General features: G+C 50.7%; 1 protein-coding gene across 9 annotated transcripts in view, besides 6 other annotated features; it reads right to left on the minus strand.

Annotated features, from left to right (window-relative positions):
• Positions 1-13,875, minus strand: part of RFX1 (regulatory factor X1) — a 45,287-nt gene extending 31,412 nt beyond the window's left edge. For 4 of the 9 annotated variants that reach the window (XM_047439195.1, XM_047439193.1, XM_047439192.1 and 1 more), the window contains exons 1-3: positions 13,809-13,875; positions 5,177-5,376; positions 584-954 (exon numbers count right to left, since the gene is read on the minus strand). In XM_047439195.1, the coding sequence (XP_047295151.1) occupies positions 584-902 (319 nt within the window). In that variant the 5' untranslated portion in view covers positions 903-954; positions 5,177-5,376; positions 13,809-13,875. Of the gene's footprint in view, positions 1-583; positions 955-5,176; positions 5,377-13,161; positions 13,380-13,808 lie in introns of those variants that run through there. The other 5 variants (XM_047439194.1, XM_011528167.3, NM_002918.5 and 2 more) reach the window with 4 other exon arrangements.
• Positions 12,605-13,133: an enhancer, noted in NCBI's record as "H3K27ac hESC enhancer chr19:14116358-14116886 (GRCh37/hg19 assembly coordinates)". NCBI's record gives its function as "activates a minimal SCP1, AML or CMV promoter by ChIP-STARR-seq in primed H9 embryonic stem cells {active_cell/tissue: H9 hESC(primed)}" and the evidence as "EXISTENCE:reporter gene assay evidence [ECO:0000049][PMID:30033119]".
• Positions 12,605-13,180: a biological region, named in NCBI's record as "H3K27ac hESC enhancer GRCh37_chr19:14116358-14116886".
• Positions 12,801-13,180: a silencer, noted in NCBI's record as "silent region_10220". NCBI's record gives its function as "represses an Ori minimal core promoter by ATAC-STARR-seq in GM12878 lymphoblastoid cells {active_cell/tissue: GM12878}" and the evidence as "EXISTENCE:reporter gene assay evidence [ECO:0000049][PMID:35858748]".
• Positions 13,134-13,661: an enhancer, noted in NCBI's record as "H3K27ac hESC enhancer chr19:14116887-14117414 (GRCh37/hg19 assembly coordinates)". NCBI's record gives its function as "activates a minimal SCP1, AML or CMV promoter by ChIP-STARR-seq in naive H9 embryonic stem cells {active_cell/tissue: H9 hESC(naive)}" and the evidence as "EXISTENCE:reporter gene assay evidence [ECO:0000049][PMID:30033119]".
• Positions 13,231-13,410: a silencer, noted in NCBI's record as "silent region_10221". NCBI's record gives its function as "represses an Ori minimal core promoter by ATAC-STARR-seq in GM12878 lymphoblastoid cells {active_cell/tissue: GM12878}" and the evidence as "EXISTENCE:reporter gene assay evidence [ECO:0000049][PMID:35858748]".
• Positions 13,662-14,189: an enhancer, noted in NCBI's record as "H3K27ac hESC enhancer chr19:14117415-14117942 (GRCh37/hg19 assembly coordinates)". NCBI's record gives its function as "activates a minimal SCP1, AML or CMV promoter by ChIP-STARR-seq in naive and primed H9 embryonic stem cells {active_cell/tissue: H9 hESC(naive and primed)}" and the evidence as "EXISTENCE:reporter gene assay evidence [ECO:0000049][PMID:30033119]".

A 26,381-nucleotide genomic window follows, 5' to 3' on the forward strand; every position in this document is an offset into this window, starting at 1 on the left:
GGCAATATGGCGAGACCTCATCTCTACAAAAAATACAAAAAAACAAAAAAATTAGCTGGGCACAGCTGCACACCTGTGGTCTCAGCAACTCAGGAGACCGAGGTGGGAGGATCATTTGAGGCCGGGAGGATCATTTGAGGCCAGGAGTTTGAGACCTGCCTGAGCAACATGGGAAGATCCCATAGCTACAAAAAATTTTAAAAATTAGCCAGGCATGGTGGTGGGCACCTGTGGTCTCAGCTACTTGGGAGGCTGAGGTGGAAGGATTGCTTGAGCCTGGAGGGTTGAGGCTGCTGTGAGCTGTGATTGTGCCACTGCACTCCAGCCTGGGCAACAGAATGAGACTCTGTCTCAAAAAATAAAATAAAACCAAAAAAAGAAGCTCTAAGAGCTGCTCTGGTGGGAAGGAGTTTGGGGGGACAGAGGCCTCCTTGCATGGCTTAAGCACCCCTGCCCTAGTGATACCCCAAGTCCCATCCAGAAACCTTGGGGGGCATGGCAGCCCTGTGCCTTCACACCCAGGGTCTAGGCTATCTGAACAACTCTGAGAGGAGTTTTCAGGACACACGAGCGCGGCACTTACCAGAGACAGTGACCACGATGTACTGCTGGGGTGCAGGCGAAGGGGTGGGTGCACCGGTTGGCTGCGAGGGTGCGGGTACAGCCGGGAGCTCCGTCACGTACTGCTTCTGGCCACCCGGTGGCTGTGCCTGGGGCTGGGGGCTCTGCAGCTCGGTGACATATTGGGGCTGAGGGGTGGCAGCAGCGGTGGGTGGCTGCGGGGGCTGGGGTGCCGCTGGGGGTGGTGGCGGTGGCGGCTGGGGCTGGGCTTGTGGCGGGGCCTGTGGCGGCTGGGATGGTGGCGGGGCTGCCTGTAGCTCAGTATACGCCTGTGTTGCCATGCCAACGGTGGGGAAAATGATAATAAATAAGGCTTTTTTTTTTTTTTAATTCCTTGGGAAGAAAGACGGGGATGGGGGAGAGAAAAACAAAACAAAACAAAAGAAGGAAAAACAGGAATTAATCCACAGGCAGAGAAAGCAGGGACAGCTCTGGGTTCCCTGGAGATGTGCTTGGGTTCATCACTAACTTAATTAAATCCCCAGGCTGGTGGCCAGAAATATCCAACCCGTCACTGCAGGGGGACCAGCTGTAGACCAGGGCTGGAGCCCCACTCCGCACCCCCACTCACCCCAAGCCAGGACTCCTGCCTTCCCAGTCCCTGGTACCCAGAGACCCCCACATCCACATAGGATCGCATTTCCCCACACTGCGGGGGAACTTGGGCCTGTGTGGTTGCTCTGTGCCCTCACCCAGAGAAAAATGGTACGGTTCTCACTGGGTCACTCTCAACTACCAGGGGCTGCCCCCTCCCTTGCCTCCATCTCCTTAGCTGAGGACCCCAAGTGGGCACTTCCTGAGGGCTCTTGTAGGCCAGGCACAGGGCTGGGCACTTTCCCTATGTTAGTTCATCTTTTTAAAATGTCTATTAGGCCGGGCACAGTGGCTCATGCCTGCAATTCCAGCACTTTGGGAGGCCGAGGTGAGCGGATCACTTGAGGTCAGGAGTTCGAGACCAGCCTGGCCAACATGGTGAAACCCCGTCTCTACTAAAAATACAAAATTTGCTGGGCGTGGTGGTGCATGCCTGTAGTCCCAGCTACTCAGGAGGCTGAGGCAGGAGAATCACTTGAACCTGGGAGGCGGAGGTGGCAGTAAGCCAAGATTGCACCACTGTACTCCAGCCTGGGAGACCCAAGACTCTGTCTAAATATATATGTGTGTGTGTGTGTGTGTGTGTGTGTGTGTGTGTGTGTATTTTTTTACTTATATATTGAAATCTACATGTACATATATATACATATATAGTATATATATACACACACATATACACTGTATACATATATGTACACATGTATATATATTGTATATGTATATTGAAATATACATACATATATATATATATATATATATATATATATATATATATATATATAATCATTTTTTTCAGAGATGGGAGTCTCATTATCATGCCCAGTCTGGTCTTGAACTCCTGGGCTCAAGCAATCCTCCTGCCTTAGCCTCCCAAAAAGTGCTGGGATTCTAGGTGTGAGCCACCACGCCCGGCCTATTTCATTTTAAACTTTCCAACAACCATGTCTGGGTTTGGGTTCTGTCTGCTAGATAGGGAGCTGAGGCTCAGAGAGGTTAAGGTGCTTGCCCCAGGCCACACAGCGGGGAAGTGGTGGCAGGGCTGCATTTGAACTCTGGGTGTTCTATGCTCCTGACTCGTCAGTTTATTGCCGGAAAGCAGAGTCATGGGGAAAGCTGCCTCCCAGGGACCCGTGCCAGTTCCCTACGTGCCTGCCATCTGGACTTGGGATTCTCGGCTGAGTAGCATTCCCAGTGGGAAGGTGTTTTGAGTCCAAAAAGCCCCTGTGAGCTGCATGGGGCCACAGGGGCTTTTTGGGCCCTCTGTCTGGGAGCAGTTATGGGTCTTGACACCAGATGTAAGCTCATCAGTGGGACAGTGCCCTTCTGTGGCCAGGGGTGACAGGGCTGGGAGCAGGCCCAGGCTGCACTGAGAACCTGGCAGCTGCGGCTGACTTCAGAACAGGGCCGGCCTTGGCCAAGCGCAGTGGCTCACGCCTGTAATCCCAACACTTTGGGAGACCAGGGTGGCTGGATCACCTGAAGTCAGGCACTCAAGACCAGCCTGGTCAACATGGCGAAACCCAGTCTCTACTAAAAGTACAAAAATCAGCTGGGCATGGTGGCACATGCCTGTAATCCCAGCTACTTAGGAGGATGAGGCAGGAGAATCACTTGAACCTGGGAGGCGGAGGTTGCAATGAGCCGAGATCTTGTCACTGCATTCCAGCTTGGGCAACAAAGTGACACTCTGTCTCCAAAAAAAAAAAAAAAAAAAAAAAAAAATTAAACGGGAGTGGTGGCGCGCACCTGTAATCCCAGCTACTCAGGAGGCTGAGGTGGGAGAATTGCTTGAACCCAGGAGGCAGAGGTTGCAGAGAGCTGTGAGCCGAGATTGTTCCACTGCACTCCAGCCTCAGTGACACAGCAACACCCTGTCTCAGAGCAAAACAAAACAAAAGGAAAGAACAGGGCAGGCCTGGCTGTTAAAGGGTGTGTTCCTCTCCCAGGTGCTGGGCTGGGCATGGCCTCCCTCCGGCTCAGCCCCACTGTAGCAGGGGATCGGCAGATGGTTTGGGGACCCTTGTACTCATAAGCCCTATCCCCAGGTCCAAAGCATTTGAGGGACAGTGGGACAGAGGCACGAGTGGTTAAGAGGAAAGGCTCCAGATCCGTGCTTTTGTGGCTCCTGCCTGGCCCCAGAAGGCATTTGGGTCTGAGAGCCCTGCCTGCAGCTGGCCATGACTCCGGGCAGTACTGCCTCCTGGCTAGCAACTGGACCAGAGCCTCTTCTGCACTAACACTCAGCACCCATGTGCCACGATGTGCCCAGATGGCCCTCCAGCCGCAGGGTGACCCTCAAAGGAAGGAGGAGGTAAAAAACAACTGCTGTTGGTTGACCAGGAGCCCCCAGACCCCTCCACTGAGGTCACCTCCTCCTGGCAGTCGTATGAGGGAGGCATCATCATGCCCATTTTACAGATGAGCTGAGCGAGGCTGAGGGGTAGGCTGCTGAAAGCCTCGAGCAACTGGTGAGGGGGGATTGAACCCAGGTCTCTCTGACCCCCAGATACATTCTGTCAGTCCCCAACCCTACTTAGGATGCCAGGCACAGGGCTCATTTGCTTTTTTTTTTTTTTTTTTTTTTGAGATGGAGTATCACTCTGTCATCCAGGCTGGAGTGCAGTGGCACGATCTTGGCTCACTGCAACCTCTGCCCCCACGGGTTCAAGTGATTCTCCTGCCTCAGCCTCCCGAGTAGCTGCGACTACAGGAGCCTACTACCACATCCAGCTAATTTTCGTGTTTTTAGTGGAGACAGGGTTTCACCATGTTGGTTGGGCAGGTCTTGAACTCCTGACCTCAAGTAATCCGCCCACCTCGGCCTCCCAAAGTGCTAGGATTACAGGCGTGAGCCACCGCGCCCAACCTTCATTTGCTTCTTAAAGTAAGTACACGGCATCTTGCCGGTCTTCCAACAGGGAGACCCAAGCGTCACCTGCAAAGGTTACGCCCCCTGCCCAAGGCCGCAGTTAAGGGCAGCAGAACTGGCAAGGGGGAAGCCGGCCCAAGCAGCCCAGGGGAGGCTGGTTCCCATCCTTCACGCCTCCCTGTGCCTCCCTCCCCCGGGATCCAGGTTCTGCTCTTGGATGCCAAACTCAAGAGGTGTCCGAGTTAGCAGGGGGGCAAGGTAGGTAAGAAACGAGCCCTGGACGGGGATGGATGCACCACGATTTGAATTTGGCTATCTCCTAACTGTGTGACTTTTGAGGAGAGCCCCTACGGCTCCATCTGTGAAATGGGAGGACGGCTGGCCCTACCAGGCGGGGCTGCTGAGGGTTCAAGCTGATCCTGTGGGCAGTGTGTGGCCAGGCACCTGGCATGCTGTAAGCACGCAGGAAATGGCTCTGGCTCCTTCACTGCCCAGGGCCCTTTAACGCAGTTCCAGGAAAGATGAAAATACCTTCTGGCCCTGCCTGCTGCCTTCCAGCCTCCAGAGCTTTGTGCTGCTGAGGATGAAGGAAACAGGAGCTTACACTTGCCTCTTGGATGTGCCCTCTGGGCTTGCGGCAGGCTTGGGAGGGACTCCAGGACCCTCCTGGCTGGCAGGAACAGAGCTGACAGGGCCCTGGGGCCACCCTCCCTGCCAGGTGAGGTCATTCTGGTAGGAGTGGAGGCAGGCAGGATGAGAAGCCGTTTGGGGCCTTCCCACCTAGCAGGTGGCCAGCCTTAGTGCTCCGAGGCCCAGGGACTCGGGCAGCAGAGAAACTTGCCCACCGTGAGAGGGAAAAGGCTGCTGCCTGCCTTGAACAAGGCGAAGACCATCCTCCTCCAGCCCCTGCCCTCCCCAAACTCCTTTCTGCCAGCATTAGAGGGGTGGAGGTTCCTCACACCATCGGGTCCAAATCTGGCCCAGCTCGGGTACTCAAGTCACTGTAGCCGACGACCCTTCATCTGTCTGGTGTCAGACCCTCACCCACATGAACCCTGGCGCTATGTCTTAACTCATTAACATATTACCAACCTTCTTCTGGGCCTCAGTTGCCTGTCACCTGGGGATAACGAGAACACCCAATTCATCAAATTGCTGCAAAGATCCAATGAGATCAGGCCGGGCACGGTGGCTCACACCTATAATTCCAGCACTTTGTGAGGCCTAGGCAGGTGGATCAGCTGAGGTCAGGAGTTCGAGACCAGTCTGGCCAACATGGCGAAACCCCGTCTCTATAAAAATACAAAAATTGGCCAGGTATGGTGGCGTGTGCCTGTAGCCCCACCTATTCGGGAGGCTGAGGCAGAAGAATCACTTGAACCCAGGAGGCAGAGGGTGCAGTGAGCAGAGATCACACCACTGCAATCCAGCCTGGGTGACTGGGTGACAGAGCAAGACTCTGTCTCAAGAAAAAAAAAAAATCCAATGAGATCAGCTCAGCACCCAATAAACACTGATAAGTGGCAGGTGTTATTATTCATTCAACAAATATCCAAGCCAGGTTGGGACAGAGGAGGAAGGAGACAGGATCTTCAAGCTCTTGGGAGGGGACACCAAGAGGAAATCCAACCTAAGCTTTCGTCAGCAACATCATGCAGATTCCTGAGCTCTACTGCCCAGTGAGTCTGAAATGGCCCCAGAGTCTGTTTTAGCTGGTCCCTTAGATGATTCTGAGGCAGACAGTCCTGACAGCACTCTGAGAAATGCTGGCCTTGGCTTTCTCAGCCCTAAGAGACCTGGCCCCTTGTGGCCCCTCCCACAAAGAAAGGGCTTTAAAAGCTCCTCACTTACTGGCTCTTTCTCCTCCTAGGGATACAAAGCCCATGGGCCTCATCCCTTCCACTCAGGGGCAAGAAGAGGAGGCAATGATTAATTTCTAAAAGGCTGAGCTCAAAAGGAGGAGGTGGGAGATCGAGGAACAACTAAACCAACTTCTCTATTGGAGGCCTTCTCAGCACTGTGATTGTCAATCTTTTTCCTACAATTATTTGACCAAAGAGCCCTTTTCTACCTTTTAAGGAGACTACATTAAGCAATTATACAGGTTTGTTCCCTAGAGAGAAATAAATCACATATACATACATAGCATGAGGTATTGCCCATATATTTGAGCGTGAGAACCCTTTCTTTATGGAGCCTGGCACACAAAACAAGGGAATTACTTAACAAACTGTTCCTTGGCAATGAATCTGCCAAGAAAAGCACTAGTGGCTGCACCTACCTTCAAAGCCAGCAGCTGCTTATGGAGACTGTTTAAATCTATTACTTTAAATGAGGGCTCGGCAAAGTTCTGTAAGGGCCAAGCAGTAAACGTTATTAGTTTTGTGGCTAGTCTCTGCAGCAGCTGTTCAACTCTGCCACTGTAATGTGAAAGTGGCCATGCACAATAGGTAAACAAATGAGCAGGCTGTGTGCGAATAAAACTTTATTTCTAGACACTGAGATTTGAACTTCATGTAATTTTCACATATCATGAAATATAATTCCGGTGTTGATATTTCCAATAATTTAAAAATGTAAAAATCATTCTTAGCTCACCAGCCAAAAACAGGCAGCAGGCCATAGTTTGTTGAACCCTGTGTTTTTTTTTTGTTTTTTTTTGTTTTTGAGGCAAAGTTTCTCTTTCGTTGCCCAGGCTGGAGTGCAATGGCACAGTCTCTGCTCACTGCAACCTCTGCCTCCCGGGTTCAAGTGATTCTCCTGTCTCAGCCTCCTGAGGAGCTGGGATTACAGGTGCCCACCACCATGCCTGGCTAGCTTTTGTATTTTTAGTACAGATGGGGTTTCACCATGTTAGCCAGGCTGGTCTCGAACTCCTGACCTCAGGTGATCCTCCCACCTTGGCCTCCCAAAGTGCTGGGATTACAGGCATGAGCCACCGCGACTGGCCTGACCCCTGTTTTGGATGCCAGATTCTCTAATCAAATGGTTTACATCCTCAGCAAGGCCCTCCCAAAGATATAGAAAGAAAACTCACTCTCTTCATCTATAGAATGGCTTCAATAATGAACTTGCAGAAGAATGGCAAAATTAAATGGGATGATGTGTGTTTCTCTCATCCTCTATATCCAATTCATTTAGAAGATTTGTCAATTACTCCTCCAAAATATATCCTAGAGGCCGGGCGTGGTGGCTTATGCCTGTGATCCCAGCACTTTGGAAGGCTGAGGCGGGCGGATCATTTGAGGTCAGGAGTTTGAAGCCAGTCTAGCCAACATGGCGAAACCCCGTCTCTACTAAAAATACAAAAATTAGCTGGGTGTGGTGGTGTGTGGCTGTAATCCCAGCTACTCAGGAGGCTTAGGCAGGAGGATCGCTTGAGTCTGGCGGGGCAGAGGTTGCAGTGAGCTGAGATTGTGCCACTGCATGCATACAAACACACACATACACATACACATACACACACACACACTCGCACACATCTCCTAATGACTGGGCGCAGTGCTCACATCTATAATCCCACCACTTTGGGAGTCCAAGATTGGAGGATCACTTGAGCCCAGGAGTTCAAGACCAGCCTAAGCAACAAAGTGACGCCTTATCTCTATAAAAAAGTGAAAAAATCAGCTAGGCATAGTACCCGACACCTGAAGTCCCAGCTGCTCGGGAGGCTGGGGTGGGAGAATCACTTGAGCCCAGGAGTTCCAGGCTTCAGTGAGCTATGATCACACCGCCACACTCCAGTCTGGGCAACAGAACAAGACCCTGTCTCTTTAAAATATATCCTGGACAGGCATGGCGGCTCACGCCTGTAATCTCAGCACTTTGAGAGCCCAGGGCAGGAAGATTGCTTGAGGCCAGAAGTTTGAGACCAGTCTTAGCAGCATAGCCGAGACTCCATCTCGACAAAAAAATTTTAAAAATTAGGTGGGCGTGATGGCGTGTGCCTGTAATCCCAGCTACTCGGGAGGCTGAGGTAGAATTGCTTGAACCCAGGAGGCAGAGGTTGCAGTGAGCCTCTCTGCAAAAACAAAAAAAACAAAAAACAAAACAAAACAAAAAAATGCTGCAGATCCATTCCTGCCTCTCATGGCCTCGGCCCCACCTCTTCCTCCCACCTGGCATGCTGTCCCCACCGCCACCTTCACGGCTGGCTTCTCCTCCTTATTCAGGTCTCAGCTCGTACACACTTCCTTGGGTCTGAAGGTACCCTCAAGCACATACTACTATTTTATTTGCTTCCTGACACTGTGTTTCCCTGTTGAGTTTATTTTCTTTCTTTTTCGTTTCTTAGAGACAAGGTCTCACTCTGTTGCCCAGGCTGGAGCACAGTGGCACAATCACAGCTCACTGTAACCTTGAATTCCTGGGCTCAAGTGATCCTCCGGCCTCAGCCTCCACAGTATATGGGAACGCAGGCCTGTGCCACGACACCTGGCTAATTTTTAAATCTTTTTAAGAGATGGGGTCTCGCTATGTTGCCCAGGCTGGTCTCAAACTCCTGGGCTTAAGTGATCCTCATGTCTCAGCCTCCCGAAGTGCTGGGATTACAAGCATAAGCCACTGAGTCTGGCTGGATTTATTTTCTTCCTCCTAGTTCCTCTTCCCTCCCTGACTGGAAAGGTAAGGGCCCCACAGGCAGAGACCTGGTGGGCCTGGTCTCTGTCTCAGCTCCTAGAAAACTGACAGGCAAGGCCGGGAGCAGTGGCTCACGCCTGTAATCCCAATATTTTGGGAGGCTGAGGCGGGCAGATCGCCTGAAGTCAGAATTTCAAGTCTAGCCTGGCCAACATGGTGAAACCCTGTCTCTACTAAAAATACAGAAATTAGGCTGCTGCGGTGGCTCACACCTATAGTTCCAGCACTTTGGGAGGCCAAAGCGTGTGGATCACCTGAGGTCAGGAGTTCGACACCAGCCTGGCCAACATGGTGAAACCCTGTCTCTACTAAAAATACAAAAATTAGCCGGGCATGGTGGTGGGTGCCTGTAATCCCAGCTACTCGGGAGGCTGAGGCAGGAGAATCTCTTGAACCTGGGAGGTGGAGGTTGCGGTGAGCCAAGATTGCGCCATTGCATTCCAGCCTGGGCAACAAGAGAGACACTCCGTCTCAAATAAACCAAACCGAAACAAAACAAAAATGAGCCGGTCATGGTGGCGGGCATCTGTATTCCCAGGTACTCGGATGGCTGAGGCAAGAGAACTGCTTGAACCCAGGAGGTGGATGTTGCAGTGAGCCAAGATCGTGCCACTGCACTCCAGCCTGGATGACAGAGTGAGACTCTGTCTCAAAAAAAAAAAAAAAAAAAAATTAGCCAGGCATGGTGGCAGGCATCTGTAATCCCAGCTACTCGGGAGGCTGAAGCAGGAGAATTGCTTGAACTGGGGAGGTGGAGGTTGCGGTGAGCTGAGATCACGCCACTGCACTCCATCCTGGGCGACAGAGTAGGACTCTGTCTCAACAAAAAAAAGAAAGAAAGAAAGAAAAAAGAAAAGAAAACTGACAGGCAAATAGTGGGGGTTTTGACTCTTACTGTCCAGGCAGCATAAATGATGCACCAGAACACACTGCTAGTGAGCATCAAAGGCAGGTTCCAGTCTATCAACTGCTGAGACCGTGTGAGAAAGTTACTTCCTGCCACAAGCCTGCTTGTGCTACAGAGCCAGGCAATGCCTTCTGGTCCAGAACAGGCCTGGGAAGCAGGTGGGAGAAAGTCTTTCTCGCCTAGGAAGACCACGTCCTGTACAGCTGCTATTGAAGGCAGCATCTCTGCGGGCGGGGCAGCCTGGCCATCCCCTTCCCTGAGATGCTCAGGTACATGACAGAGGAGAAGGGTGAGGACCTCGGCTCCAGAGACGCCATTCCAAGCTCCCCACCGTTCCCACAATGTCCACATCCCCGCTCACCCAGCTGCCTCCTGGAAGGCTTGGGACTGTGTCTGGGCCTGAGCCCAAGTAGCATTTTGTGTGTGTGTTTTGAGACAGTCTTGCTCTGTCACCCAGGCTCAAGTGCAGTGGCACGATCTTGGCTCACTGCAACTTCCATCTCCACGGTTCAAGGGATTCTCCTGCCTCAGCCTCCTAAATAGCTGGGACTACTACAGTCATGTGCTACCATGCCCGGCTACTTTTTGTATTTTTAGTAGAGATAGGGTTTCACCGTGTTGGCCAGGCTGGTCTCCAACTCTTTACCTCAAGTGATCCACCCACCTTGGCCTCTCAAAGTGCTGGGGGAGTGAGCACCCAAATTGAGCCACTGTGCCCGGCCAGGATTTTTCTTTCTAGTGACTCTCCTAAAGCCAGAGAACAGCCATTCAGCAGCCAGGGGAGTGACTTTCCCACTACAAACTGGATCCCTGGTATCCAGCTTCCTGGATCCCTGTCATCGACCCACACAGCCCAGCAAGCGAGAAGCAAGTCAACCTTTAAAGCCACGAGGGCTCTCACTGGATTCAAAATGATAAAAATAAAAGCCAACGGTGTATTTCCGAGGGTTGAACAGGAAGCGACAATCACCGTAACAGCAGAGGCTAACATAACTACATTAGCAATTACTTTGTATTTAGTTAGTTTCAGCAATTCCTATGTATTTGATATTCAACAGGTATTATTTTCTGGGATCCATAGCACAGAAACATGAGATTGAAAGGACTACCAAGGATTACTGCCCCTAGATGAAAGGAAGGGAAACTGAGGCCCAGAAAACTTAAGTAACTCACCTAAGAGCACACAGCTAGAAAAGCTGACTGTTTCAAGTCAGCTTCAAATCACCCTAGTGTTCTCTTCCTAGTCAAATGACTCCTCAGGCCCTTCATCTGTAAATGTAACTGGTGACTGAGGCAGTCAACATGACCAGATAATTGGTAACATCACTTTCTGCTCAGTTAGCTTTTTTTTTTTTGAGACAAGTCTCACTCTGTTGCCCAGGCTGGAGTGCAGTGGCCTGTGATCTCAGCTCACTGCAACCTCCGCCTCCCAGGCTCAAGCAATTCTTGTGTCTCAGCCTCCCGAGTAGCTGGGATTACAGGCATGTGCCACCACGCCTGGCTAATTTTTTTAGAAACAGGGTTTCACCATGTTGGCCGGGCTAGTCTCAAACTCCTGACCTCAGGTGATCCGCCCACCTCAGCCTCCCAAAGTGCTGGGATTACAGGTGTGAGCCACCACGCCCAGCCTGCTCAGTTAGCTTTTTTAAGAAGGGCTAGCCGGGCGCGGTGGCTCACGCCTGTAATCCCAGCATTTTGGGAGGCCGAGGCAGGTAAATCTCGAGGTCAAGAGATCAAGACCATCCTGACCAACATGGTGAAACCCCGTCTCTACTAAAAATACGAAAATCAGCCGGGCATGATGGCGAGCGCCTGTAGTCCCAGCGACTCAGGAGACTGAGGCAGGAGAATCACTTGTACCCGGGAGGCGGAGGCTGCAGTGAGCCAAAATCAAGCCACTGCACTCCAGCCTGGCCACAGAGTGAGACTCCGTCTCCAAAAAAAAAAGTGCTGATGATCCGTCTAGCAACTTGGCATTTCTAGCTTTTTTGTTTGTTTTACTGAAAATTAATCTCCACCTGTCCTAACTTTCAAAGAGTCCCTGCCTCCTCTAAAAAGGGCCAGGCCTAGAAAAAGTACCTGGAGAAGTTAGGACCCGCCAACCCCCACCAGACCAATCTCAAACTCTTGGGAAAAAGCCTGAAATGATCCTTTTCCTTGGAATGTATTGACTGATTTAAAAGGAAATGGCTGCAGTTTGCACACCGACACTAAGCTCAAAAGCAAGACGGAGAATAAGCCAACTAGACTTGGCCTGGCTGGCTACTTAAAAAAAAAATTCCTCCCCGAGCTGGCAGGATATTGTCACCCTAAAAAGCAGTGGCAAAGATTCTCCTCTCACAAACATGGATAGCTTCCCCTTCCCTCTGACCGCTCCTGCCCACGTGGCCCTAGAGGCTGGGACCTTGTCAGTGACATGTGACTCGGTTGACACTCGTTTGACACAAAAACATGTGTCTGGCCAAGAGAAGCGGGTTTAAAAAATCTAAGAAACTTCCTCAGGCTTCATTTGCTCCCCCATTCCCAGTAGGGGAGACCTCGATGGGCAGGACCCAGAAACGTTCCATCTCCAGGAACAAACCCCCGCAACCTCAAACCAGGAAACATCAGGTCTCAAACAGCAGCCCAGAGAAAAGCACTCAGGTTTCTGTTCCTCTAAAGCATTCCCTCATGGTCACTCCTCCCTACCATGGACTTTGATTTCTGCAAACCAGATCCTCCACGCTAAAGCCAAATCGACTCCTAGCTCCTCCATGAAACTTTGCTTCCTCTTTGCTTCCTCCCAGAGAGAAGGTGGCAGGTTTAGGAGTGGGCTGCAGTGTTGAAATCAGGACTAGCTGACAGTTATTTTATCAAACCACATTCAGAAACGGTAGATACGAGGAAAAGGTTCAAAGATAAGCCGTAAGTAAAATTCCTGGAAGGAATGAGGAGTCCCGGTACTGCAGGAAAAGGGCGATGTCAATGATTCTCCCCATTTTACAGGATGGAAAACTGAGGCCTCAGATGGACAGGCACTTGTCCAAGTTCTGAGTCCTGGGACAACTGCAAAGCTCTTAAGGAAGAAGGGAGTCGCTTAAGGATCTGGAAGGCGGACCGGGTGGTGGCTGCCCACCCTGGTTCCCGAGGTGGAGGTTGGGGAGACCCAGCCGGCCCCGCCCATACCTTCCCTCCTGGTCCCGCCCACCCACCTTGGCCCCGCCTCGTACCTCCCTCGCTCCCATTGGCCCAGCCTCCCCAGGCCCGCCCCTTCGCGCTCCCGACATATAAAAGCCCCCCGCCCCGGCCTGCCGACCTCCACTCGCCGCGGGCCTGCGAGCGCCCGCCCCTCGCGGGGGCCGGGCCGCGGGGACGGGGGCGGGTGGTGTCGTTCCAGCCGGGCCCCGGCCCCCTCCCCCACGGTCCAGACAGTCGCCGCCGCCATTTTGACCGCCCGCCCCTTCCCCCCGGACTGTGATTACAGAGACACCTACTGCCCCGGCCCCGCCGCCCACCCCGGCCCGGCCAGCCACCCCGGGGCCGCCCTGGTTACCTCCGCTTCTCCCCACTTCTGTCTGCGGAAACGCTTTTCGGAGGTCTCGGAGTCGATGTTGGGAAGGGGACGGGACGTGCTGGGGTCCCCGGGCCGGGCCTGGGGGGTGGGGGTGGGGGTCGGCCGGGCGGTTGTTGTTGTTGACTCGCGTTGCCGGGTTGCTTGGTCGCCACGACTACCGTGGCTATGGCGCCTCCGTTTCCCTCACCGGGGCAACTGTTGCTACCCACCCTAGTTACGTCACGCGCGGGGGCGGGGCCCGGGGTGATTGGCGGCGGCCGGAGAAGTGATTGGACGGCGCCAGGCCTTGCAGCTAAACTATTAGTTCCGATGCACGCTTTTCAACACCCTCTGGACTTCCCGGCGATCTGATTTATCAGTATGAATGTCCATCAAAAGAAACTGAACCCTCAAAGGCAGCCGGGCCCGTCACTCCGGCAGGGAAGCAGCTGGTTAAGAATAAAGGGGTAGGACTCGTGAGGACGGGATTGGTTTGCCGATGTAAAACCGGCCTCCTGGTTCGACTAAAGGGACGTCAATCTACCAAAGGTTTGCCGCGCTCTCTGGCTGGAGGCCGTGCGCATGCTCGGCACGCAAGGCCGATTGGGAGTTGTAGTCCGCTCTTGCGTACACTTTACATGTCTTACCAAATTAAAAAGGCGAGAAAGGAAGACTCCGCTCCAGACTTCTCTCTCGCTCGGTGGGCCAGTTTCTGGCTTCTTGCGCTGACGTCAGGGGAGGAATGCAGTGACGCAGCGCAGCCCCTCTGTGACGACAGCGGCGAAGGCCGGACTCGGGATTCGATGACGTCACTGGGCGCGCGTCCCCCTTCCCCACTGCCCATGGCCCCGTCGGGGTTGGGTGGAAGCGGGAGGCCGCGGCGGGGTTCGATCCCAGCTCCCACCCGCTGGGGTGACATCCTCCTCCGCCCAAGCCGGCCAGACAGCGCGGCCGCCGCGCCTTCTCCCGCCTCCCGGTCCCCTCCAGCCGGAAAAGGTCACCGCTGCCGGGGTGACCGCGGCTATCTCTGCCCCGCAGGCGGTGCGGCCGCCTTGGGAAAGGTCTCTGCAAGGCGGGGGACTTCATTCGCGGCTTCAACCGCGGTAGATAAGCAAAGGTCAGCCCCGACCCAGCCCAGGGAGCTTGGTCCGCCCAGGAGAGCTCACCACAACCCCCGCCACACACACACACCTCCCACACATACGCTCCTCTGTGCCTCAGTTTCCTCAAGGGACTGTCTGGGTGCTGCAGGACGAGAAGAGACAGAAACAGGGCCCGGACTAGGGTGAACATCTTGGGAGCAAAAACTCAGTCATCAAGATAAATAATCTTCTAATTCAATATTTGTTAAATATCCAAATTAATGGGAAAAAATAAATCTATGATGAACAAAACATCACAATTTTAAATAAAGACAGGATCCGCCAACACAGGGATTAAGGTGAGATGCGTTATGCAAGCTCAGGGTCAGATCTTGTGTTTAAAATAAATTTATTATTATTATTTTTTGAGACGGAGTCTCACTCTGTCGCTGAGGCTGGAGTGCAGTGGCGCAATCTCGGCTCACTGCAAGCTCCGCCTCCCAGGTTCACGCCATTCTCCTGCCTCAGCCTCCCGAGTAGCTGGGACTACAGGTGCTCGCCACCACGCCCGGCTAATTTTTTGTATATTTAGTAGAGACGGGGTTTCACCGTGTTAGCCAGGATGGTCTCGATCTCCTGACCTCGTGATCCGCCCGCCTCGGCCTCCCAAAGTGCTGGGGTTACAGGCGTGAGCCACCACGCCCGGCCTACTTTTTATGTTTTAAATGTCAATTATCTTATGACTGAGCTCTTTGGCCTTCTCTTAAATTTTGCATTCTCATCCCAGGTAGGCCCTAGAACAGCAAGGGGAAAAGAAAACAGGCTCAGACAGCCCTGAAGTCTAATGCCAGCCCTGCTGTGTGGCATTCAGAAAGTGACTCCACCTAAGTTTGTTTCCTAATTCAACCAACATTATATTTCCTCGGTGCAAGGCCCTGGGCTATACAAGTGAAGAAAGGTGACTTCATTTATGGTGGCTCACACCTGTAATCCCAGCACTTTGGGAGGCCAAGCAAGGAAGATTGCTTGAGCCAAGGAGTTCAAGACCAGCCTTGGCAACAAAGCAAGACACCCGTCTCTACAAAAATTAGCTGGGCATGGTAGTGTATGCCTGTAATCCCAGCTACTCCGGAGGCTGAGGTAGGAGGATTGCTTGAACCCGGGAGGGGGAGGTTGCAGTGAACCAAGATTCTGCCACTGCACTCCAGCCTGGGCGACAGAGCGAGACTTTGTCTCAAAAAAAAAAAAGCAATTAGCTAGGCGTGGTGGCATGTGCCTGTGGTCCCAGCTACTCTGGAGGCTGAGGCTGGCAGGATTGGTTCAGCTCCGGAGGTAGAGGCTGCAGTAAGCAATGATTGTGTGGTCCAGCCTGAGTCTCAGAAAAAAAAGAAAAAAAGGAAAAAAAAGAAAGCAAACAACTCCCTTTGCATTCTAGGATGGGATACACAATAAACAGATAAATTGTAAGATAGGCTCCTTAGAGTCCTGAGAGCAACATAAGAGAGTGGGGTAGGAGAATGAGAGGATGCTGTAGCCAGTGTTATCTGAGGGGGGATGTCCCACAGAATGAGCCTGAGTGGTGAGAGACGAAGCAAGCCTCATAAATCCAGGTGGAGGGGCCGGTCATGATGGCTCATGCCTGTAATCCCAGCACTTTGGGAGGCCAAGTTCAGGAGTTCCAGAACAGTCTGGCCAACACGGCGAAATCCTGTCTCTACTAAAAATACTAAAATAGGTCGGTGTGGTGGCACGTGCCTGTAGTCCCAGCTACTGGGGAGGCTGAGGTGGGAGAATCACTTGAACCTGGGAGGCAGAGGTTGCAGTGAGCCAAGATCGCGCCACTGTACTCCAGCCTGGGCAACACAGTGAGACTCCGTCTCAAAAAAAAAAAAAAAAAACGGGGGGAGAGAACTGCCTTCAAAGCTGGGAACAGGAACTTCTGCTAAAGCCAGGAGAGATAAGGTTGTAGAGGTAATAATAGCCACATAATTCCCAGCGAACCCAGCAAAGTGGGACGCTCCCCGCTCTTGACAGGTGGGCAATGGATGCCCAGAGAGAGGAAGTAGGTGCCCTCTCTGCCAGAGGCGTGTGAACCAGAGCAACTCCATCTTGAACAGGAACTGGGTAAAATGAGGCTGAGACCTGCTAGGCTTCATTCCTAAATGGTTAAGGCATTCTTAGTCACAGGATAAGACAGGAGGTCAGCGCAAAATACAGTTCATAAAGACCTTGCTGGCTGGGTGCAGTGGCTCATGCCTATAATCCGAACAGTTTGGGAGGCGGAAGTGGGCGGATCACTTGAGGTCAGGAGTTCGAGACCAGTATGGAAAACATGGCAAAACCCGATTTCTAATAAAAATACGAAAATTAGATGGGCGTGGTGGTGGGCACCTGTAATCTCAACTACTTGGAGGCTGAGGCAGGAGAATCGCTCGAACCCGAGAGGCAGAGGTTGCAGTGAGCCGAGATCACCCCACTGCACTCCAGCCTGGGTGACAGAGTGAGACTCCATCTCAAATAAATAAATAAATAAATAAATAAATAAATAAATAAATAAATAAAAATAAAGACCTCGCCGGGCGTGGTGGCTCACGCCTGTAATCCCGTCACTTTGGGAGGCTAAGGTGGGCAGATCACGAGGTCAGGATTTTGAGACCAGCCTGGCCAACATGGTGAAACCCCATCTGTACTAAAAATGCAAAAATTAGCCGGGTGTGGTGGCGTGCGCCTGTAATCCCAGCTACTAGGGAGGCTGAGGCAGAATTACTTGAACCCGGGAGGTGGAGAGTGCAGTGTGCCAGGATCGCGCCACTGCACTCCAGCCTGGGTGACATTGTGAGACTCTGTTTCAAAAAAGATAAAAATTTTAAAAATAATTTAGAAAAATACATAAATAAAGACCTTGCTGATAAAACAGGTTGCAGTAAAGAAGCTGGCTCAAACCCACCAAAACCAAGATGGCCATGAGAGTAACGTCTGGTCCTCACTGCTACACTCCCACCAGCACCATTACAGTTTACAAATGCCATGGCAACGCCAGGAAGTTACTTTATATGGACTAAAAACAAGAGGCATGGAATAATCCACCCCTTGTTTAGCATATCATCAAGAAATAAGGCTGAGTGTGGTGGCTCATGCCTGTAATCCCAGCACTTTGGGAGGCCGAAGCTGGCAGATCGCTTGAGGTCGGGAGTTCAAGAACAGCCTGGCCAGCATGGCGAAACCCCGTCTCTACTTAAAATACAAAAATTAGCCGGGCGTGTGGCGCATGCCTGTGATCCCAGCTACTCAGGAGGCTGAGGCAAGAGAATTGCTTGATCCCGGGTGGCAGAGGTTGCAGTGAGCCAAGATCACACCACTGCACTCCAGCCTGGGCAACATGGAGACTCCATCTCAAAAAAAATAAAAAAAAATACAGCCCTCGAGGCTGCTCTATGGAGTAACCATTCTTTTATTCCTTACAAATTTGCTTCCACTTTACGGACTCACCTGGAATTCTTTTTTTTTTTTTTTTTTTTGAGACGGAGTCTCTCTCTGTCACCTAGGCTGGAGTTCAGTGGCACGATCTTGACTGATTGCAACCTCCGCCTCCCAGGCTCAAGCGATTCTTTTGCCTCAGCCTCCCGAGTAGCTGGGACTACAGGCGAGCGCCACCACGCCTGGCTAATTTTTGTATTTTTAGTAGAGATGGGGTTACACCATATTGGCCAAGCTGGTCTCTAACTCCTGACCTCGTGATCTGCCCGCCTCGGCCTCCCAAAGTGCTGGGATTACAGGCGTGAGCCACCGCACCAGGCCCTGAATTCTTTCTTGCGTGATATCCAGGAACCCTGTCTTGGACTCTGGATCGGACCCCCCTTTCCTGTAACATCTCCACCCCAAGATCACGAAGCTGGAGGAACCAGAGCCCATCTCTTTTCATGGGACTTTCCAGTGCCCTGGGTGTGACCCTGGATGGGAGAAGAGGAGAAGCAGCAGCTCCAGTCTGCCTGGAATTGCCGGTTGAGTCCCAGCCCTGACAGTACCTGCAAGAATTAATGAGACTTCCAGGCAGGCAGTGCCCAAGAATGAATCCCAGCTGGCAATACAAGTCACATCAGGGTCCCAGGACCAGCCATGGGGACTTCATTGTGGGGAGGGAAACTAGAAGCCCTATTTCCACCTCCTACCCATTTCTCCAATGCCCAGAAGTAGCTGGACCAAGCCCAGAGACCATGTCGTCCATCAAAAATATTCAGCTGGGCGTGGTGGCTCACACCTGTAATCCCAGCAGTTTGGGAGGCCTAGACTGGCGGATCACCTGAGGTCAGCAGTTTGAGACCAGCCTGGCCAACATGGTGAAACCCCGTCTCTACTAAAAATACAAAGTTAGCTGGGCATGGTGGTGTGTGCCCATAATCCCACGTACTTGGGAGGCTGAGGCAGGAGAATGGCTGGAACCTGGAAGGTGGAGGTTGCAGTGAGTCGAGATCGCGCCACTGCACGCCAGCTTGGGCGACAGAGAGAGACTCTGTCTCAAAAAAAATTCATTATAAGACTTTGTGGCTGGAAATGCAAGGTGGAGGCTGAAATGTTCTATATTTTTATCTGGTGGAGGTTGTACAGCATATAGTCAGCCCTCCCTGTATCCACAGGTTACACATTCATTGGAAGATTCAACTAACTGCAAATCAAACATTCAAATAGGCCGTGCTCTGGTACTGGTATAAAAATAGGCACATAGGCCGGGCGTGGTGGCTGAAGCCTGTAATCCCAGCACTTTGGGAGGCCAAGGCAGGTGGATCACTTGAGGTCAGGAGTTCAAGACCAGTCTGGCCAACATGGTGCAACCCCGTCTCTACTAAAAATACAAAAATCAGGTGGGCGCAGTGGTGGGCACATGTAATCTCAGCTATTAGGGAGGCTGAGGCAGGAGAATCGCTTGAACCCGGGAGGCAGAGGTTGCAGTGAGCCAAGATCGCGCCACTGTACTCCAGCCTGGGCGACAGAGTAAGACCCTGTCTAAAAAAAAAAAAAAAAAAAAAAAAGCACATAGACCATAAACCCAAATACTTAACAGCCAACTGGTCTTCAGCAAAGCAAACAAAAACATAAAAGGGGGGAAAGGACACCCTTTTCAATAGTAACGCCAGGATAATTGGCTAGCCACATGTAGGAGAATGAAACTGGATCCTCATCTCTCACCTTATACAAAAATCAACTCAAGATGGGTGAAGGACTTAAATCTAAGACTGGAAACTATAAAAATTCTGGAAGATAACATTGGAAAAACCCTTCTAGACATTGGCTTAGGCAAGGATTTCATGACCAAGAGCCCAAAGGCAAATGCAATAAAAACAAAGATAAATTTCTGGGACTTAATTAGACTAAAGAGCTAAGTAACAGTCAGTAGAGTAAACAGACAACCTACAGAGTGGGAAAAAATCTTCACAATGTAAACATCTGACAAAGGACTAATACCCAGAATTTAAAATGAATTTCAACAAATCAACAAGAAGAAAACAAATAATCCCATCAAAAAGTGGGCTTAGGACATGAATAGACATGTCTCAAAAGAAGGTATACGAATGACCAGCAAACATATGAAAAAATGCTCAACGTCACTAATGATCAGGGAGATGCAAATCAAAACCACATTGTGATACCACCTTAAACTCCTGCAAGAATGGCCATAATCAAAAAATCAAAAAAAACAGTAGATGTTGGCATGGATGCAGTGATCAGGGAACCCTCCTACACAGCTGGTGGGAATGTAAACTAGTACAACCACTATGGAAAACAGTGTGGGGAGTACTCAAGGAACTAAAAGTAGAACTACCATCTGATCCAGCAATCCCACTACTGCGTATCTACCCAGAGGAAAAGAAGTCATTCTACAAAAAAGATACTTGCACATACATGTTTATAGCAGCAAAATTTGTCATTGCAAAAACGTGGACCCAATCCAAATGCCCATCAATCAGCGAGTGGATAAAGAAACTGTGGATATATATTCAATGGAATACTACTCAGCCATAAAAAGGAATGAATTAATGGCATTCGCAGCAACCTGGATGGACTTGGAGGCTATTATTCTAAGTGAAGTAACTCAGGAATGGAAAACCAAACATCGTATGTTCTCACTCATAAGTGGGAGCTAAACTATGAGGATGCAAAGGCATAAGAATGACACAATAGGCTTTGGGGATTCAGTGGGGGAAGGGTGGGAAGGGGCTGAGGGATAAAAGACTACAAATAGGGTGCAGTGTATACTGCTCAGGTGATGGGTGCACCAAAATCTCACAAATCACCACTAAAAACATGCTCATGTAACCAGGCACCACCTGTTCCCCAATAACCTATGGAAGAAAAAAAAAGTTTTTTAAAAAAAGAGGCCGGACGTGGTGGCTCACGCCTGTAATCCCAGCACTTTGGGAGGCTGAGGTGGGCGGATCACGAGGTCAGGAGATCGAGACCATCCTGGCTAACACGGTGAAACCCCGTCTCTACTAAAAATACAAAAAATTAGCCGGGCATGGTGGCAGGCGTCTGTAGTCCCAGCTACTCGGGAGGCTGAGGCAGGAGAATGGCGTGAAACCAGGAGGCAGAGCTTGCAGTGAGCCAAGTTCGTGCCACTGCACTCCAGCCTGGGTGACAGAGCGAGACTCCATCTCAAAAAAAAAAGAAAAACTCAAACAGTCCATGCTTGGTGGCTCATGCTTGTAATCCCAGCACTTTGGGAGACCAAGGTGGGAGGATTACTTGAACTCAGAAGTTCAAGACCAGCCTGGGCAACATAGCAAAACTCCATCTCTACAAAGAAAAAAAAGTAATGGAAAAAAGTTCAAATAAATAATAACAGGCCAGGCATGCTGGCTTACGCCTGTAATTCCAGCACTTTGGGAGGCCCAGGTGGGAGGATCACCTAGGTTGGGAGTTCAAGACCAGCTGGCCAACATGGCAAAACCCTGTCTCTACTAAAAATACAGCAATTATCTGGGCATGGTAGCTTATGCCTATAATCACTTTGGGAGGCTGAGGTGGGTGGATCACCAGAGGTCAGGGGTTCAAGACCAGCCTGGGCAACATGGTGAAACCCCGTCTCTACTAAAAATACAAAAATTAGCCAGGTGTGATGGCACACCCTTGTAATCCCAGCTACTTGAGAGGCTGAGGCAGGAGAATAGCTTGAACCCAGGAGGCAGAGGCTGCAGTGAGCGGAGATCACACCACTGGACTACCGCCTGGGCAACTGGGCAACAGAGTGAGAGTCTGTCTCAAAAAAAAAAAAAAAAAAAAAAAAAGGCCAGGCATTTTTACTTACTTACTTACTTACACCTGTAATGCCAGCACTGTGGGAGGCCAAGGTGAGTGGATCACTTGAGGTCAGGAGTTCGAGACCAGCCTGACCAACATGGTGAAACCCCGTCTCTACTAATATTACAAAAATCAGCCAGGCATGGTGTTGTGCGCCTGTAATCCCAGCTATTCGGGAGGCTGAGGCAGGAGAATCACTTGCACCTGGGAGGCGGAGGCTGCAGTAAGCCAAGATCGCGCCACTGCACCCCAGCCTGGGTGACAAGAGCAAAACTCTGTCTCAAAACAAAGAAAAAAGAGAAGGAAAGAATTAGAAAATCACCATGTTGCAAAAGCCAGCAAAATCATTGATGCAGACAGCGATCATCTATAGGTGCTAAAAAAAGTAGATGAGGCCGGGTGCGGTGGCTCATGCCTGTAATCCCAGCACTTTGGGAGGCCGAGGCGGGCAGATCACCTAAGATCAGGAGTTCGAGACCAGCCTGGCTAACATGGTGAAACCCCATCTCTACTAAAAATACAAAAATTAGCCGGGCGAGGTGGCGGGCACTTGTAATCTCAGCTACTCGGTAGGCTGAGGCATGAGAATGACTTGAACCCGGGAGGCAGAGGTTGCAGTGAGCCGAGATTGCATCACTGCACTCTAGCCTGAACAACAGAGCCAGACTCCATCCAAAAAAAAAAAAAAAAAAAAAATTTGGCCGGGGGTGGTGGCTCATGCCTGTAATCCCAGCACTTTGGGAGGCTGAGGTGAGCAGATCACCTGAGGTCAGGAGTTGGAGACTAGCCTGACCACCATGCCGAAACCCCGTCTCTACTAAAAATACAAAATAAATAAATAAATAAATAAGCTGGGCGTGGTGGCAGTTGCCTGTAATCCCAGCTACTCGAGAGGCTGAGGCAAGAGAATTGCTTAAACCTGGGAGTTGGAGGTTGCAGTGAGCGAGACCATGCCATTGCACTCCAGCCTGGTCAACAGAGCGGGACTCTGTCTCAAAAAAAAAAAAAATTAAAAAAAGAAGGAAAAAGATCAATAATCCAAAAGTATACTAGGCAAGGGAGGTTACCAGAGAGTACAGAGGAAACTAATGGTCCTTAAACACATGGGACTTTGCCCTGCCTTGCTTGTGGTCAGGAAAATGCAAATTTTCTCTACTCTGAGATACTATTTTTCACATGTCATGTTGGCAAGAAACCAAAGTTCGATAACACTCTCTGTTGGTAAGGCTGTAAGGCAGCAGAACTTTTACCCATTGCTAGAGAGAGTGTGAATCGCTCTAACACCTGAGGGGGAATATTTGTCAATATGCGTAAAAATTACAAATGCACACAGTCTTTGAGCCAGAAATCCCGCTTCGGAAAATTTATCCACAGAGACACTTGCATATGTGTAAAATGACGTTCTGTATGGCGATGTCAGCCTAAGAACAAACGAGTGGAAAAAATGTCCATCTCTGAGAGTGAAATTAACCATAAAGCATTCACACAGCAGCATGCTATGCAGCTGTGAAAAAATAAAAATAAAAAATAACAAGAATGTGGCCAGGCACAGTGGCTCACGCCTGTAATCCCAGCACTCTGGGAGGCCAAGGCGGGCCTATCACTTGAGGTCAGGAGTTTGAGACCAGCCTGGCCAACATGGTGAAATCCCATCTCTACTAAAAAATAAAAAAATTAGCTGGGCATGGTGGCATGCACCTGTAGTCCCAGCTACTTGGGAGGCTGAGGCATGAGAATTCCTTTTTTTTTTTTTTTTTTGAGACGGAGTCTCACTCTGTCACCCAGGCTGGAGTGCAGTGGCGCGATCTCGGCTCACGGCAAGCTCCACCTGCCAGGTTCATGCCATTCTCCTGCCTCAGCCTCCCGAGTAGCTGGGACTACAGGCACCTGCCACCACGCCCAGCTAATTTTTTGTATTTTTAGTAGAGATGGGGTTTCACCGTGTTAGCCAGGATGGTCTCGATCTCCTGACCTCGTGATCTGCCCGCCTCGGCCTCCCAAAGTGCTGGGGTTACAGGCGTGAGCCACTGAGCCCGGCTGAGAATTCCTTGAACCTGGGAGACAGAGGTTGCAATGAGCCGAGTTGGCGCCACTGCACTCCAGCCTGGGCAAGAGCAAGACTCCGTCTCAATAAAAATTAAAATAAAATAAAATAAAGTTTTGTTAAGAGATCTCCAACACTTGTTAAGTCACGTGGGAGAAGCAACATTCAGAAGAATGTGTAGAACATGCTACCTTTTAATGAAATTCTGGGCCAAGCATGCTGGCTCATGCCTATAATCCCAGCACTTTGGGAGGCCGAGGTGGGAGGATCACTTGAGCCCAGAAGTTCGAGACCAGCCTGGGCAACATAATAAGACCTCGTTTCTAGTGAGACTGGACAGGATCTTGCTCTGTCACCCAGGCTGGAGTGCAGTGGCACAATCATAGCTCACTGCAGCCGCCAACTCCTGGGCTCAAGTGATCCTCCCACCTCAGCCTCCCAAGTAGATGGGACTACAAGCACACGCCACCACCCTGGGCCAAATTTTAAAAATTCTTTTGGAGAAATGAAGTCTCAGCCAGGTGTGGTGGCTCATGCCTATAATCCCAGCACTTTGGGAGGCTAAGGTGGGTGGATAGAAAGGTCAGGAGTTTGAGACCAGCCTGGCCAACATGGTGAAACCCCATCTCTACTAAAAATACAAAAATTTGCTGGGCCTAGTGGTGCCCACCTGTAATCCCAGCTACTTGGGAGGCTGGGGCAGGAGGATCTCTTGAACCCGAGAGGCGAGGGTTGCAGTGAGCCGAGATCATACCAGTGCACTCCAGTCTAGGTGACAGAGCAAGACTCCATCTCGGAAAAAAATTTTTAAAAGTCCGGGTGCGGTGGCTCAGGCCTGTAATCCTAGCACTTTGGGAGGCCGAGGTGAGTGGATAGCCTGAGGTCAGGAGTTCAAGACCAGCCTGGCCAACATGGTGAAATGCCATCTCCACTAGAAATACAAAAATTAGGCCAGGCACGGTGGATCACGCCTGTAATCCCAGCATTCTGGGAGGCCGAGGCGGGTGGATAACGAGGTCAGGAGATCGAGACCATCCCAGCCAACATGGTGAAACCCCGTCTCTACTAAAATACAAAAAATTAGCCAGGTGCGGTGGCATGTGCCTGTAATCCCAGCTACTCGGGAGGCTGAGGCAGGGGAATCCCTTGAACCTGGGAGGCGGAGGTTGCAGTGAGCTGAGGTCGCACCACTGCATTCCAGCCTGGCGACAGAGCGAGACTCTGTTTCAAAAAAAAAAAAAAAAAAAAAAAATTACCTGGGTGTAGTGGCGGGTGCCTGTAATCCCAGCTACTCAGGAGGCTGAGGAAGGAGAATCACTTTAACCCAGGAGGTGGAGGTTGCAGTGAGCCGAGATGGCGCCACTGCACTCCAGACTGTGCAATGGGAGGGAAACTCCACCTCAAGAAAAAAAAAAAAATTCACAGGGGTAGAAAGTAGTATGGTGGTTGCCAGGGGTAGAAGGAGGAAGGACGGAGAGAGTGTTTAATGGGGACAGAGTTTTGGTTGGGGAAGACAAAATGTTCTGGAGATGGATGATTGCACAATAATGTAAATATGGGTAATGCCACTGAATCGTACACTTAAAAATAGTTAAAACAGCCGGACACAGTGCTCACGCCTGTAATCCCAGCACTTTGGGAGCCCGAGGTGGGGAGATCCCCTGAGGTCAGGATTCAAGACCAGCCTGGCCAACATGGTGAAACCCCGTCTCTACTAAAAATACAAAACACATTAGCTGGATGTAGTGGCGCACGCCTGTAATTCCAGCTACTCGGGAGGCTGAGACAGGAGAATCGCTGGAACCTGGGAGGTGGAGACTGCAGCGAGTCAAGATGGCGGCATTGCACTCCAGCCTGCGCAACAAGAGCAAAACTCCATGCCAAAAGAAAAAAAAAATGTTAAAACGGTAAATTTTACATGTATTTTGCCACATTAACAAAAAATGTTTAGGCCAGGTGCAGCAGCTCATGCCTGGGCAAAATATTGAGGCCCTGTCTCTAAAAAAAAAAAGAAAAAAAAAAACAAGAAAAAGAAAAATATTGGCCAAGCATAGTAGTGAGCTGAGGTGGGAAGATGGCTTGATCCCAGGGGTTTGAGACTGCAGTGAGCTATGATCGTGCCACTGCACTCCAGTCTGAGTGACAGAGCCAGAGCCAGACAAAGCCAAAGAGGGAAAAAAATGGGTTTAACATACTGGCGGGGCACAATGGCTCACACCTATAATCCCAGCACTTTGGGAGGATGAGGCAGGCAGGTTGCTTGAACTCAGGAGTTTAAGACCAGCCTGGGCAACATGGTGAAACCCTGTTTCTGCAAAAAAAAAAAAAAAAAAAATTTAGCTGGGCGTGGTGACATGTGCCTGTGGTCTCAGCTACTCTGGGAGGCTGAGGCAGGAGGATCACTTGAGCCCAGGAGGTCAAGGCTACAGTGAGCTGGGATGGTGCTACTGCACTTCAGCCTGGGTGATAGAGTAAGACCCTGTCTCAAAAAATAAATAAATAAATAAATAAATAAAGCAAGCCTAGGAGTTTGAGACCTGCCTGGGGCACATACTGAGACCCTGTCTCTACAAAAAATTTAAAAATGAGCTGAGAGTGGTATGCATCTGTGGTCCCAGCTACTCAGGCGGCTAAGGTGGGAGGATAACTTGAGCCCGGGAGATCGAGGCTGCAGTGAGCCGTGATATTGCTGCTGACTCTAGCCTGGGCAACGGAGTGAGACCCTGTCTCATAAAGAAAAAAAAAACCTGTATTCATATTTGTTTTCATGTGTACAAAGTAATTCTGGAAAGATACTC

This window comes from Homo sapiens, chromosome 19, assembly GCF_000001405.40.
Source record: "Homo sapiens chromosome 19, GRCh38.p14 Primary Assembly".
Lineage (NCBI taxonomy): Eukaryota > Metazoa > Chordata > Mammalia > Primates > Hominidae > Homo > Homo sapiens.